General features: G+C 55.9%; 1 protein-coding gene across 12 annotated transcripts in view, besides 1 other annotated feature; it reads left to right on the top strand.

Moving 5' to 3' along the window:
- Window positions 1-13251, top strand: part of ANKS1A (ankyrin repeat and sterile alpha motif domain containing 1A) — a 208736-nt gene that overhangs the window by 182090 nt on the left and 13395 nt on the right. For 6 of the 12 annotated variants that reach the window (XM_011514431.4, XM_011514434.4, XM_006715036.3 and 3 more), the window contains 8 exons: window positions 7214-7312; window positions 8172-8324; window positions 8477-8584; window positions 9650-9814; window positions 11347-11472; window positions 11811-11882; window positions 12073-12159; window positions 12774-12914. In XM_011514431.4, the coding sequence (XP_011512733.1) occupies window positions 7214-7312; window positions 8172-8324; window positions 8477-8584; window positions 9650-9814; window positions 11347-11472; window positions 11811-11882; window positions 12073-12159; window positions 12774-12914 (951 nt within the window). The remainder of the gene's footprint in view (window positions 1-7213; window positions 7313-8171; window positions 8325-8476; window positions 8585-9649; window positions 9815-11346; window positions 11473-11810; window positions 11883-12072; window positions 12160-12773; window positions 12915-13251) is intronic. The other 6 variants (XM_011514432.4, XM_011514435.4, XM_005248964.4 and 3 more) reach the window with 1 other exon arrangement.
- Window positions 9904-10575: an enhancer, noted in NCBI's record as "H3K27ac-H3K4me1 hESC enhancer chr6:35049025-35049696 (GRCh37/hg19 assembly coordinates)". NCBI's record gives its function as "activates a minimal SCP1, AML or CMV promoter by ChIP-STARR-seq in naive H9 embryonic stem cells {active_cell/tissue: H9 hESC(naive)}" and the evidence as "EXISTENCE:reporter gene assay evidence [ECO:0000049][PMID:30033119]".

The raw sequence follows: 13251 nt of genomic DNA on the forward strand, positions 1-13251 counted from the left end.
TTGGGGGTAAAATACTTTGTTTCGGGGCTGCTGTCTGTCATGCGATGCCATACTGGAGTCAGGTTGGCACTCGGTGTCTTGTTGCTACAGAGTCCGCTGGGTCAGTCTTAGGATCTCTGCTTTAATGATAATGTGGGACTGTTGTGCCTGAATTCCACAGGGAGGAGGGTGTAATGAGGCAGGTCCAATGCCCCTACCCATCATGGCCTGAACCTGTTTTTCAGGTTTCTGTGGGATCCCCTTGGCCTAGAGGGGGGGTCCATTCAGTTTCCTGGGGGGCTGATGGTTTTATTTTTGGTTCATACCGCTGAGGTACCAGATGCTGTCTGGCAGAGCCACACCCCCTGAGCTGGCCACACGCTCCCAGTCAGAACTTCTCTGCGGTTTGGATGTGTCAGGGTCCTGTTTCCAGAAGATCCGTTAAAGTCAAAGCAAACTCCTACCTACCCCGGCCTCGTGGAGCCTTCCTGCGGTCCTGCCATTTGCCCCATCCTGTAGACAGGGCTGCAGGAAGCAGCCCAGCCAGCAACCAGTGTGGAGGGAGAGGGAGTCCAAGGCCCAGGCCGGCCCCTCCCCATCTGGGGCTGCCCTGCAACCCTCAGTGGTAACTTAGGACAGCTCCTATTTCCCCTTTGGCTAAAAGGGTCTACACCAGTGTGTCACCACTCCCAAACAGTCCCCTTCCTGGGCCTTTGCCACTTTGTTGAATGAAGACCTCACCTGCAGTTAAGCAAAATATTAACACGTGAGATGCCTTTCAAGATGCAAAAGGATATTTTCCTTCTAAAATCACATGGGCAGGAAGGCTCTGAAGATGTTAGAGCCCCAGTGGACTGGAGAAAGCCAGGAAGAAAGCAGTGTGGGTCCTGCAGTAGCCCCTGCCGCTTCTCCTGCCTCCTGCTCTCCCAGGACGCCCGGGGCCGACCCGGGCCGACCCTTGTCATGCTCCTTCCGTTCGCCTGGGCCTCCATGCTTTCAGCTACCTTCTGCATCTTCAGGTGGAGCCCAGTGACAGATACTCGCAGGAAGGAGAAAGCATTCAAATGGCTTAGGTTGATGGAAAGTGACACTGATTACAGCCACCATGGTAGACGCTTCACGTGTACCTTACCAAGGAAGGGCACCCAGCCACGATCATGGGCGACTCTACAAACCCAGCCCCTTACTGAACTCCAATAGGCCAGGCTGGCTTCTTCCAGAGTCAGGCTGGCCCTTGGCACAGTGCCCGTGCTATGTATCCAGAGGCCTGGGCCCACATCCTGACCCTGTTTCTCCCTTATTGGAGGCCCTGGCATTTCTGAACCCACTCACCTCTAAGAATTGGATTCTGTACAGTTAAAGGAACAGTGTCCCTTCCCCGAGAGGTGGAGAAAAGGTGGCCAGGAGGGAGAGGGTCCTGGGAGGAGCATTTATGCGCGATGCTGAGAGATGGGATTCTACGGAGGGAGGCAGCATTGGCTCTCAGCTCAGCAGGGGCTGTGCCCCAGCCCAGGACGGGTGTCCTGCTCCTGCTGTCTGGCAGGCGTCTGCCCGCACCCCCACACTTTGCTTTTGTCTTCAGTACACCCTGCCTGCCCCAGCAGGAAGAGCCGAGGAAGACGACTGGGGTTGGTCAGATGGGGCCTGAGCAGTCCCTTTGCCATGCTCTAGTACCATGGCCTTGGATAAGTCCAGTCTGCTCTCCAAGCCTCAGTTTCTTTCTGTGTAATGTGAGCAGCTCCTATCTGAAAGGTTTATTGGGCGGATTTTTGCAGGTCATGGGTGTGAAGCCCCTAGCACAGTGCTGGACTGTGGTCAGAACTCAGTATCACTGGCCCGCATCTTCACTGTGAGCCCAGGACAGGCCACACGTCACACGTCACCTCCCACAAAGCCCGGCAGAGGGTGCCCAGGGAACTCTTGTTATGCCCAGAGCTCAGTGACCCAGGGGAGCACTTCTTGCTGTCCCCTTCCCTTGAGTTCTCCAAAGCAGGCCATGGCCATGATCACAGGCTGAGGAGCCAGGCCGCCAGGGGCCATCCTGGCTCTGCCTCTTCCATGGGAGCACTTTTTCCTCTGCAAAGCGGGGAGCAGTCGGACACCTGCCGGCGATATGAAGTCTGAGCGAGTCAGGACAGGGGGAGGCCCAGATCCCAGGCGAAGATCAGTGCTCTGTCCCGCCTTGGTTGCTGGGAGCCCTCCTGTCCCCTCTTCCTCAGGGACTGGACCCAAACCAGGCCAGGCCGGAAGACTAGTTGTGTGTTTCAGATGTCACTTGGAGTTGTGAAGCTTTTATCAAAGCTGAGACAATCCCTGTTAACTAAAATCCCTAGGACAATGAACTGTTGTCCTTTATTCACTTCCTAATTATAGAAGTGTCCTGCCATGTAGTAAGTACTCAGTAAATGTTAGCATGGTAGCAGATAAAGTAGAAAATCTCTTTTCCCCCATGACCCTCCTTGTGAAGAGGTTTCTAAAAGCCAGTGGTCCCTTCTCCCTGAGTAAAGAGGGTGTGGTAACTTCCAGAAACGTTTCTTGCCCTTTGAGGATATGTGGCACTGAGTAGTCACCACACAAGCTCATCCCCCGGTGCGGAGATATGGCTACTTCAGGAATTGGGAGGACCCCGCGCTGCGCCCGGAATGTGCTCTGGCAATGGTTTGCCTTTCTTTTCTGTCATTTCCTTTATTTTTGTGTGTTTCCATTCATCTCTTGTTCCTCAAAGCTGCACACAGCCCGCCCTTCTGCTGGCCAAGGTCTGGTTAGCAAAGGGCCTGTCTCCGGCGGATCTGGCTTTCCTCGCTGTCAGCCTTCAGGTGCCCTGAAAGCTGGCGAAGGTTTCTGAGTCAATGCTGGGGTTGAGTGGGAGTTTAGAACATCACTGCGGTGCCGCAGTCACTCTTGGACGTCCACGTCCTCTTGGAGGTTTGAGGCAGGCTCAGCTCAGCCGTTCGCTTTGGTATCCTCATAATCAGGTAGAAAGTCTGGGCCGGGGCCAGGGGCAGTGGTGCACACCTGTAATCCCAGCACTTTTGGGAGGTCGAGGCAGGAAGATTACTTGAGCTTAGGGGTTCAAGACCAGCTTGGGCAACATAGTGAGACCCCATCTCTACAAAAAAAAAAAATAGCCAGGCATGGTGGTACATGCCTATGGTACCAGCTACTTAGGAGGCTGAGGCAGGAGGATCACTCGAGCCCAGGTCAAGGTTGCAGTGAGCCATCATCACACCACTGCACTCCACTTTTAAAAAAAAAGTCTGGGAAGGCGGCTGCCTCTCTCTGCCTTTCTGCAACAGCAGACGTTAGATTTGGTCCCAGAGCCACTGTAGGAACTCTGTGGTGACTCTCAGATTTGGGGGTGACTTGGCTGGCCTCAGACCTGGAGTGGTGCCCAGGCCTCGCTTGTGCCCAGCAAGGGGTGTGTTCTGCAGGTGGAGCAGAGTAGTGGGCTTCCAGCCTGGCTTTGGGGCTCTCTTCACCTGGGCTCTCTGAAGCTTAAGTCTGGCAGTGTCCTCTGTGGGACAACGTTTATGTCACCATGCACAGGCTCTGGGGAGACTCCCGTGGCCAGCAGTCACCACACGGGGCGGGGGCCAAGCAAGTCATGGTCTGCATGAGCTGGCCCAAGTCACTTAGCTTTTCCAAGTGTAAAGTAATGCCCACCACAACAGAGTAAAAGTCCAGAAAGAGGCCCAGAAATACACAGGAATTTCAGACACCATAGAGGCCATTCCAGATTGGGGGGAAAAGATAGCTCATCAAGAAATGGACAGCTTGCTGCCAGGGCAAAAATAAGGTTGGATCTTGACTCTTACACCTTACAGCAAAATAATTTCCAGATGGATTAAAGATTTAGCTATAAAAAAGGAAACAAATTACAGGAAAAAATATAGAAGAATGTAAAACACAATCTTGGAAAGGCAAGATCTTTTTAAGCCTGACATAACTGAGAAGCTCTGCAAGAAAAGTTGGGTACACTTAGCTACAAAAAATAGATTTCTACATGAACAAAGCCAGCATAAAAGCCAAAAGATAAATAGCAAACTGGAAAACAAATATCTAACTCATTTCATAGATAAAAGGTTAATTTTCTTTTTTTTTTTTTTTTTTGAGATGGAGTCTCGTTCTGTCACCCAGGCTGGAGTGCAGTGGCGCGATCTCAGCTCACTGCAACCTCCGCCTCCTGGGTTCAAGCGATTCTCCTGCCTCAGCCTCCCGAGTAGCTGGGATTACAGGCGTCCGCCACCACACCTGGATAATTTTTGTATATTTAGTAGAGACGGGGTTTCACCGTGTTGGTCAGGCTGGTCTCGAACTCCTGACCTCATGATCTGCCCACTTCGATCTCCCAAAGTGCTGGGATTACAGGCCGAGCCACCGCGCCTGGCCAAAAGGTTAATTTGCTTTATTTTTTGTTGTATGTACACACACATACACACACACTTGTGCACACACATATATTGTTGTTTTTGTTTGGAAACAGGCTGGACTGCAGTGGTGCAATCATGGCTCTCTGTAGCCTTAATCTCCCAGGCTCAAGTGTTCCTCCCACCCAGCTTTCCAAGTAGCTGAGACCACAGCTGCGCACCACCATTCCTGGCTAATTTTTTTATTTTTGTAAAAACAGAGTCTCACTGCGTTGCCCAAGCTGGCCTCAAACTCCTGGGCTCAAGTGATCCTCCCACCTCACCTTGGCCTCCAAAAGTGTTGGGATTACAAGCGTAAGCCATTGCACCTGGCCAATTTTCTTATTATGTAAAGAACTCCTACATAGCTACGCAGAAAAGACCGACAACTTCATAGAAAAACTCTGAGGCTGTCCGGGCGCAGTGGCTCACGCCTGTAATCCCAGCACTTTGGGAGGCCGAGATGGGCGGATCACGAGGTCAGGAGATCGAGACCATCCTGGCTAACACGATGAAACCCAGTCTTTACTAAAAATACAAAAAATTAGCCAGGTGTGGTGGCGTCCCAGCTACTTGGGAGGCTGAGGCAGGAGAATGGCGTCAACCCAGGAGGCAGAGCTTGCAGTGAGCTGAGATCGTGCCACTGCACTCCAGCCTGAGCGACAGAGCGAGACTCTGTCTCAAAAAAAGAAAAACTCTGAGGCTATAAGCCAGTTAACTCAAGGAGCTCTGGGTGTCCCCAAGTGTGCGGCACCAGGGCCATGTGGACAGCAGCATTGGGGCTGAATCTGGCTCCAAATGCACTTACCATGTGACCTTGGCAAGTCACCAGGGCTTTATGGGCCTCAGCTTCCTCAGTTGTAGGGTGGGAATAACAACAGTCCCAATTTTGTTTTGTTTGGTTTTGTTTTGTTTTTGAGGTGGAATCTTACCCTGTCGCCCAGGCTAGAGTGCAGTGGCGTGATCTCGGCTCACTGTAACCTCTGCCTCCCAGGTTCAAAATGATTCTCCTGCCTCAGCCTCCCGAGTAGCTGGGATTACAGGCGCCTGCCACCACGCCCGGCTAATTTTTTGTATTTTTAGTAGAGACAGGTTTCACAATGCTGGCCAGGCTGATCTTGAACTCCTGACTTCAGGTGATCCACCTGCCTCAGCCTCCCAAAGTGCTGGGATTACAGGGGTGAGCCACCGCGCCTGGCCACAATAGTCCCTATTACTAAATGGCTTGGGCAGGTCCAGCGTGGAGTAGGGAGGGAGTGCTTTGGAAATGCTAGATAGATAAAACGTGGAAAGATGCTCATCCTCACCTCTGGATGAGATGATCCTACTCCGATAAGAAATGTGCAAATTGAAACTGCAGGGAGACTCTTTCCCTGCTGTGTTGCTGATGGTGTGGGGGATCTAGCACTGGCGTCACTAAGAAGAGCAGAAAGAGCTGTCAGTGTTAAGGCACGCACCCTTGATTCAAGTAAGCAGAAACCCTTCCTCATAACAGGCCTAGACACGACACTCACGGGGAGGGTGTTCATGCAGCACTGTGTGCAGTAGCTGAAGTTGGAGCAAATGTCCTTCAACAGGGAACTGGCTGAATAAATTATAGCATATTCCTAACCTAGATGATGCTGCAGCTTGTCCAAAGGAGGTGGGCCCACATGCACTGCTGCGGAACAATCTCCTGTGTATATTCCGTGATAAGAACAAGGCACCGAGCGTGTGCGAGAATGGCATTTGTGTGAAAATGCAGTGTGCAGGCACAGGCCTGTCTGTGCCCAGCGGGGCTCTGGGGACGTCCAGGAAGTGGCAGCAGCTGCAACTGCGAGGGCCTCCATGGCTGAGGGATGGGCAGGACCTGTGAATTTTGCATCATAGGCCACACTGTGTATTTTAAAATTAAATCTGCTCACACTATCTTGTGACTTCTGTAATTAGAGACGTCCTCGCAGGGGCCAGGAGCGTGAAGGAGAGAGTCAGGCTGCCCAGGGTCCCCTCTTAGCTCCACCACTAGATGTGTGATGTCAAGAAATTTCTGACCTCTGTGTGCCTCAGTTTCCTCATCTGTTAGATTAACGGGATTAACAGAGACCCTAACATGCAGGTTGTGAGCATGAAGTGGGATGCGCCAGGTGAAAGCTCTCGGCCCTGTCATATAGTAAGAAAGGAGCAGGAGCACCAGCCTCCGCCCCCACATCCTTGCATCGTGCTTAGCGCTGCAGGTGGGCGCTCCGTGTGCCTCTCCACCCTCAGCTGCTCCGTTGAGGCCAGTGGAGGTCTCAGAAAACAGCACGGACTGGGCTCAGCTCTGACCCACCCTTCTCCCTGGGACAAGGACGCCCTTTTCTGACAGTCTCCCCCTTGGAGGCTTCTCTCCTTGGGGTGAGGCTGGGTCCTCGGGTACCCAAGTCTGTCACCAGCCACCCGCCTGAGGTGGTTGTTACAACCTTAGAATTATAAAATCCTGTCTAAGAGGAACCTTAGGATGAGTCCACTAGTTCTTTATCTTGGATGCATGGAACCTGCTCCCCAGAAAAATGCACACACACTCAGGGGGCCGGGACTTGTGGCTGGGCCTGGGCAGGCGGCACCCCCACCCTTGTGTGCCCTGGCCGGCCTCAGCACCCTGTGCATATTCTGGAGCCCCAGCTCTGCCTAGCTCCCCTGGGAGCCGCCCGGATGGACGTGGGCAGTCTGGGCAGACTTGTCCCCATGCCCTCTTGGTGCCTGCAGTGAAGGAGAATTTGGTGCAGGGCCCTGAAAGGCCCACCTGACCCCCTCAGGGCCACCAGCCATCCATCCAGGAGGGGCCCTGACATCCACCTTTCTGCTCTCAGGGGTCTAATGTGATGGAAGAGCAGGACCTGCGGGACATCGGCATCAGCGACCCACAGCACCGGCGGAAGCTGCTCCAGGCGGCACGCTCCCTACCCAAGGTGACCATCGCCGGCCCTGTAGCCTCAGCCCGTGCGGAGCCAGGGCCACCTCCCTAGCACCACCTGCACCAAGAACAGGGGAGGAGCAGGGCTCCAGCACACGCACATCATAGCAGGACCTCTACCCCTCACCCTAGGAGCTCCGGAAGGGCCGCACACAACCCTGTTTGCTTCCTCACTATGCCCTAAGGCCCTTGGAGAGTCAGCAGAGCCCTAGGGCAGGGAGCAGGCTCCTCTGGGGTCATGAGGAGGTTCTGGGGGTCTGCCTGGCCCAGGAGCCTGGTACCCGCTGGCTTGGCCTTTCACCCAGAGCCCCCTTCATGGTCTCTCTGGCTCACTGGAGCCCTGGCCAGCCTGCACTGAGCCCTGGCACCGGGCCCCTCCCCGAGTGGGCTTGAGGGAAGTACCGTCTTCCCTGGGGAGCCAGGAGCTGGTGGGCCTGAGCCTCTCCCCTGCACTTGTGCTGAATGCAGTGGCCCCGTCCCTTCTACCTGTCCAGAGCTTGGGAAGCGCCCGCTCTGAGGGCACACACTATTCTCTTGTCCCTCCAGGCCCGTGACCTCAGCGGAGCTCAGGGCGGAGGCGTTCTGCAGACCCCCCCTCCCTACCTAGGCTTGTCTGCTAGGGCCATCTTCCAGCCCTGTCGGTGCTCCAGCGGCTCCTGCCTTCCCCATGGGGAAGCCGAGACCAGCAAGTGATAGGAAAGGCTGTGCGAAGTGGGGGGCTGGAAGGTGCTGAGGACCCCAAACACAGAGGGCCCCCTGGCCACAGTCTGTGTGAGCTGGCTGGGTCCATGGTCCTCGGGTCCCTCTCCTGTGAGTGCTGAGATGTCAGTTTCACCTCCCTCCTTGCCCTGTAGGTGAAGGCTCTGGGTTATGACGGGAACAGCCCCCCTAGCGTGCCCTCCTGGCTGGACTCCCTGGGGCTGCAGGACTACGTCCATTCCTTCTTGTCAAGTGGTTACAGCTCCATTGACACCGTGAAGAACCTCTGGGAGCTAGAGCTCGTCAATGTGAGTAGTCCCTGCGTGGCCCGGCCTGGACTCTCCAGAAGTCTGAGCTTCCCTTAGGGGCAGCCTGGCCCAGCGGAAGATGCTGGGGGCTGGAGCGGACTGTGAGTGAGTTGGCCACCTGACCTGTCACCTCGCTGCTCCTCATCACCCAGGTCCTGAAGGTCCAGCTGCTCGGCCATCGCAAGCGCATCATCGCCTCCCTCGCAGACAGACCGTACGAGGAGCCGCCCCAGAAGCCCCCCAGATTCTCCCAGCTGAGGGTGAGTCGGGGAGGGACAGAAAGGAATGTATGTTTGTTCCCTGTATTTGCAGGAATTACATAGAATTCTTTAGGATTCTTCAGAGACCACTGTAGTGTAGGAGAAAGCAGCTCCAACAAGAAGAGAGGAGTACAGGAGAGGAGGTTTAGAGAAGTTCCCCGCCACCTGTTTCTACTTGGGGATGGCCGATCAAACACATAAAACTTGGGGGATAGTAGGAAAACACCAGGCCATGGCTGGGTATTGAACTCAGCTCTGTGCCTGGGGACAGGGAGGGGCCGAGTCAGGTAACACCTGAGACAAATCCAAAAGGCCAGGACTCACAGCCACCTGGGCACCCCCCAAATCTGAGTTCGAATTCCCAGGCTGGGGTGGCTAAGACAGCTTGCATTTTAAAAACCTCACCCATGATCTGTTGCTCCTGCCGGTAATTCCTGACAACAGAAACGGGTTAGACTCAGAGCCTGCAGCTGAGGAAGAGCTCTCCCCCAGCCCCAGGCCAGAACATGCAGGAATGGCGGTAACTAGAGCAGCCGCTCCCCGAGCCCTCGGGTGCACTGGGCCTGCCCCGCAGGTCTCACCCCATTGAACCCTCAGGGGCTTCGTGAAGTGGGTCCTGTTCATCCTCCTTTTACAGATGAGAAAGTGGAGGCCCAGCCTTGCTCTGGGAACCAAACACACAACTGACATTCAGATATAGACACTGAGAAGCCAGGATTGTATTCTGTTGGGGACGGTGGCTTTAGGGCCCTGACTGACAGGGCTCCATTTTTTCTCAAGGGGGTGCTTTGTTTGGTCATGTGCAGAGGCCTGCAATGGATCAGGACAGAAGATTTAATCTTTTATAAATGCAAAAGTGGCTTCCCCGCCCTCTCGGGGGACACTAGTGGACGGTGGCTGCGTGGTGCCACCTGTCTGACACCCCTGTGGTGTTGGCCCCTTCGCTCCCTGCTGCTTCTCCCGGTGCCGCTGCCTGTGCCGTCCTAACCAGTGGGGCTGGCTGATACCTGTAGTCGGGCACTGGGCCGAGGGTTGCAAGTTCCACCTGGATTTTTCCCTCCACAGTGCCAAGATTTGCTCTCCCAGACGTCATCCCCACTGAGTCAGAATGATTCCTGCACTGGGCGGTCGGCAGATCTGCTGCTGCCTCCAGGGGACACAGGCAGGAGGCGCCATGACAGTCTCCATGACCCTGCGGCACCCTCCCGAGCGGAGCGCTTCAGGATCCAGGTGGGGCAGGGGGAGTGGAGGTGCAGCCAGGCTCTACCTCATTCCTCTGGGTGGGACAGGGCCTCCCAGAACCACCTGCTGCCCCATACTTGAGCACAGTTGGGCTGGCACCAGAGTCAGGAGGCACTAGCCTGCTCTGCTCGCCCACACCCAGCCGCCTTGCGTAAGGCCCACCCAGCACCCATGGTGCCGAGCTCGGGCCGCACAACTCACTTTAGCTGTCAGCTGCTGGGGCCACTCCTGTGTCCTGTACTTCCCTCCCTCAGGGGTTCAGATCCCCTGTCCGCTCTTTCTCTGTGGCCTCTTGCGTCCTGCACTGCCTCCCCTGCTGGCCCCAGAGCCCTCTGTGCTCTCCTGGCCTCTGAGCTCCTTCTTGGCCCCTTCCTTCTCTGCTTACCCACGTTGTTCCCCAGAACTGCTTTCCCTGCAGCTTCACCTCGGCAGCATTCTCTTCCTCCTGCTCAGCAAAACCACAGCCAGACCAGATTCTGTTCTTCCTGTTCTCTGCCTGCAGCCCCGTGGGGGGCACCGCTGGAGACGCCTCCTCCGCTCCCGGTGCCCGCTCCAGCCCTGGCGGAGGTGGGCCCGTCTCACACTCCTGGCTCACCTTCTCAGGGCATCATTTCCAGGGGTCCTGGATTTACTCAGGACCTGCCTGTCCTGCCTCCCTCCTTGTACGGACCTTGGCTTTGTCCTTTGTCCTCTTCTTGGCCTGTCAGACACAGGATTAGCAGGTGTCCCTCAGGCCCCTCCGGGTGAACTTCAGCTTCACCCCTGCTTGTTTCTCTGACTCTCACTTCTCACTTCTGGCTCTGGGGACTTCCTTTCCCTTTCTACAAGCACAGCCATGAGTTTTAAAGGATTTTTAAACACATTGTCCAGCAATTCCGGTTGCTGTTGAGAGGCTCTGCGCACTGCTGGGAAGGGAGGGCCTCCGTGTTTCCTGAATCTTTTCCTTCCTCTCCATTCCTTCCACCAGTGCCCTGGACAGGGACCCATGATCTCTCACCTGGACCGCAGTGGCCTCCCCCACCCCCTAGCTGCTGCCAGAAGGATCCATTTGGAATGCATTCCTAGGCACGGGCGGGTGCTTCACTGGCTTCCCCGCTGTGAAGATCCCTCCCAGGCCCTGGGCTGGGTCCCAAGGCGTCCCAGGGTCTCGTGGGCGCTGTTCTCTCCTTTGGTCTTTGTGCAGAACAGCCTGGCAGCCTGTGCCCCCCACACAGACTCTGCCATCTCCTCTCTGGTCATTTCCCATCTCCTTTGAGACTCATCTCGGACACCACAGAGACTGTCCTTCCCAAGCCCTGCTCTCAGGCGGTTTGGGTCCCTGCTGTGCCTCTGCTGTGGCTAGCACCTCCCCTCTCCCGCAGTGTGTTTGAATTGCTGGTCTGCCCCCTGCCATCTCCACTCGACCCTTGAACTTGCTAAGGTCACTGGCATCTTCACCCTTGAGTGTGCTGGAGCCAGGCAGCAAGCCCATGTGCTCCTCTGGAGCAAGGAGCAGGTGTCCAATTGCGTGTGTTTCGCAGGAGGAGCACCGTGAGGCCAAGCTGACCCTGCGGCCCCCGAGCCTGGCAGCCCCCTACGCCCCAGTGCAGAGTTGGCAACACCAGCCAGAGAAACTCATCTTCGAGTCCTGTGGTTATGAAGCCAATGTGAGTTGCTCCCACCCTCCCAGCAGGGCCGGCCTCCCTGCTCCTTCTCGGCCAGGCACCTGCGGCCAAGTCCCAGCAGGGACTCCACAAAGCCAGGCCCAGGGCTTTTGAGCTGTTCTCCACTCTCAGCCACTCTTGACAGCTAAGGCGAAGGGGTGGAGGCCTCTGGATCCTTTAGCTAGGGAGTTGAATGGAGGGTCTCTCCAGCTGGGGCAGGAGAGGGGGTGTTGTTATTGAGAGGGGTAACTACTTGATTGTGGGACAGTCCCAAATTGGTTGGGTCACCCCTGCATGGAAACGCAGGATTTCCTAAGCCTGGCCACTGCTCGCCCCCACAGTATCTGGGCTCCATGCTGATCAAAGATCTGCGAGGGACAGAATCCACGCAAGACGCCTGTGCCAAGATGCGGGTAGGGTGCCTGTGTGGGCTGGAGGGCGCTGTGGGACTGGCCAGCAGAAGGCAGCAATGGGGGCAGTAGCTGCAGTTGCCTGGGCCCTGCTGCACTATGTAAGGATGGGAAGGAAGCTGGGACCTGTGGAAGCCCAGGAGGCTTAGCCCTGAGAAGGGGCACTGACAGGGCCACCCCTTGTTTCCTGTAGAAATCTACGGAGCACATGAAGAAGATCCCCACCATCATCCTGTCCATCACATACAAAGGTGTCAAGTTCATCGATGCCTCCAACAAGGTGTGCTGCTTACAGGGACTCTTGGTGGGAGTGGGACCCACATCCCCGTCAGACCCACAGGGCTCCAGGGCAAGCAACCCGGCTGCCCTGTCTCATCTCTTATCTCCCTAGAGGGTCCCCAGTCCTCTTATTACTTCCCACTTTGCTAAGAGGCGTGTCTCTCATCTGCTGGCCTGGGTGCCTGCTGTCAGCCCCGTCCCCGCCCTAGTGATCACTGCTGTTAGCCTCGCCACCTGGGCTCCACTGGCCGCACACCTGCTCACAGGTGTGATTCCCTCCGTGAGCAAAGGACTTTCTCTGTGTGCCACCGTGTGGGATCCCACCTTCCTGACACCCTTCCCACTTTGCCCCCACCCTGGAAGGTGGGAGGGGCTGGGGAGAGCTTGTGGTTGGGTGTGAACATTTTACTGCCTTAGTTGTTGTGGTAAGGGGTGGAGACCCCAAACCAAAATCGGGGACCCCCACCCCCACCAATAAACAAAATGAGAAGATGAAGGGGGGTTTGCTTGATGCTCTAGGCTGGGACAGAGAACAGTGACAATGGTAACAGGCTGGGGCAGGGGGTGCCAGAGGCATGCCTGAGCCTGAGAATTCCAGAACACGGCTTTCCCCAGCAGAACGTCATTGCAGAGCACGAGATCCGGAACATTTCCTGTGCGGCCCAGGACCCGGAGGACCTCTGTACCTTTGCCTACATCACCAAGGACCTGCAGACCAGCCACCACTATTGCCATGTGTTCAGCACCGTGGATGTGGTGGGTGGGGTCCTGGGGCCGGGTGGGGCAGGCTTGGGTTGCAGCCCTGAGGCGTCCAGCCCCATTGCAGGGCACAGATGCGGCGCTGTCCTGGCCCCTGGCCAGTGCCTGGCAAATGTTTGGTTCATGAATGGAGCCCAGCAGCACTCAGGCCGGTCCCCTTTCACAGTGATGAGACTGACGCGCAGAGGGAACAGGGACTGGCCCAGGGCACTAGGGACAGGAGGTTCCAGCTTTTTTTTTTTTTTTTTAAGAGATGGAGTCTCACTATGTTGCCCAGGCTTGCCTTGCACTCCTGGGTTCAGGCAAGTTACCCACCTCAGCCTCCCACGTAACT

The sequence above is a fragment of the Homo sapiens genome, chromosome 6 (assembly GCF_000001405.40).
Source record: "Homo sapiens chromosome 6, GRCh38.p14 Primary Assembly".
In the NCBI taxonomy this organism is placed as follows: Eukaryota; Metazoa; Chordata; class Mammalia; order Primates; family Hominidae; genus Homo; species Homo sapiens.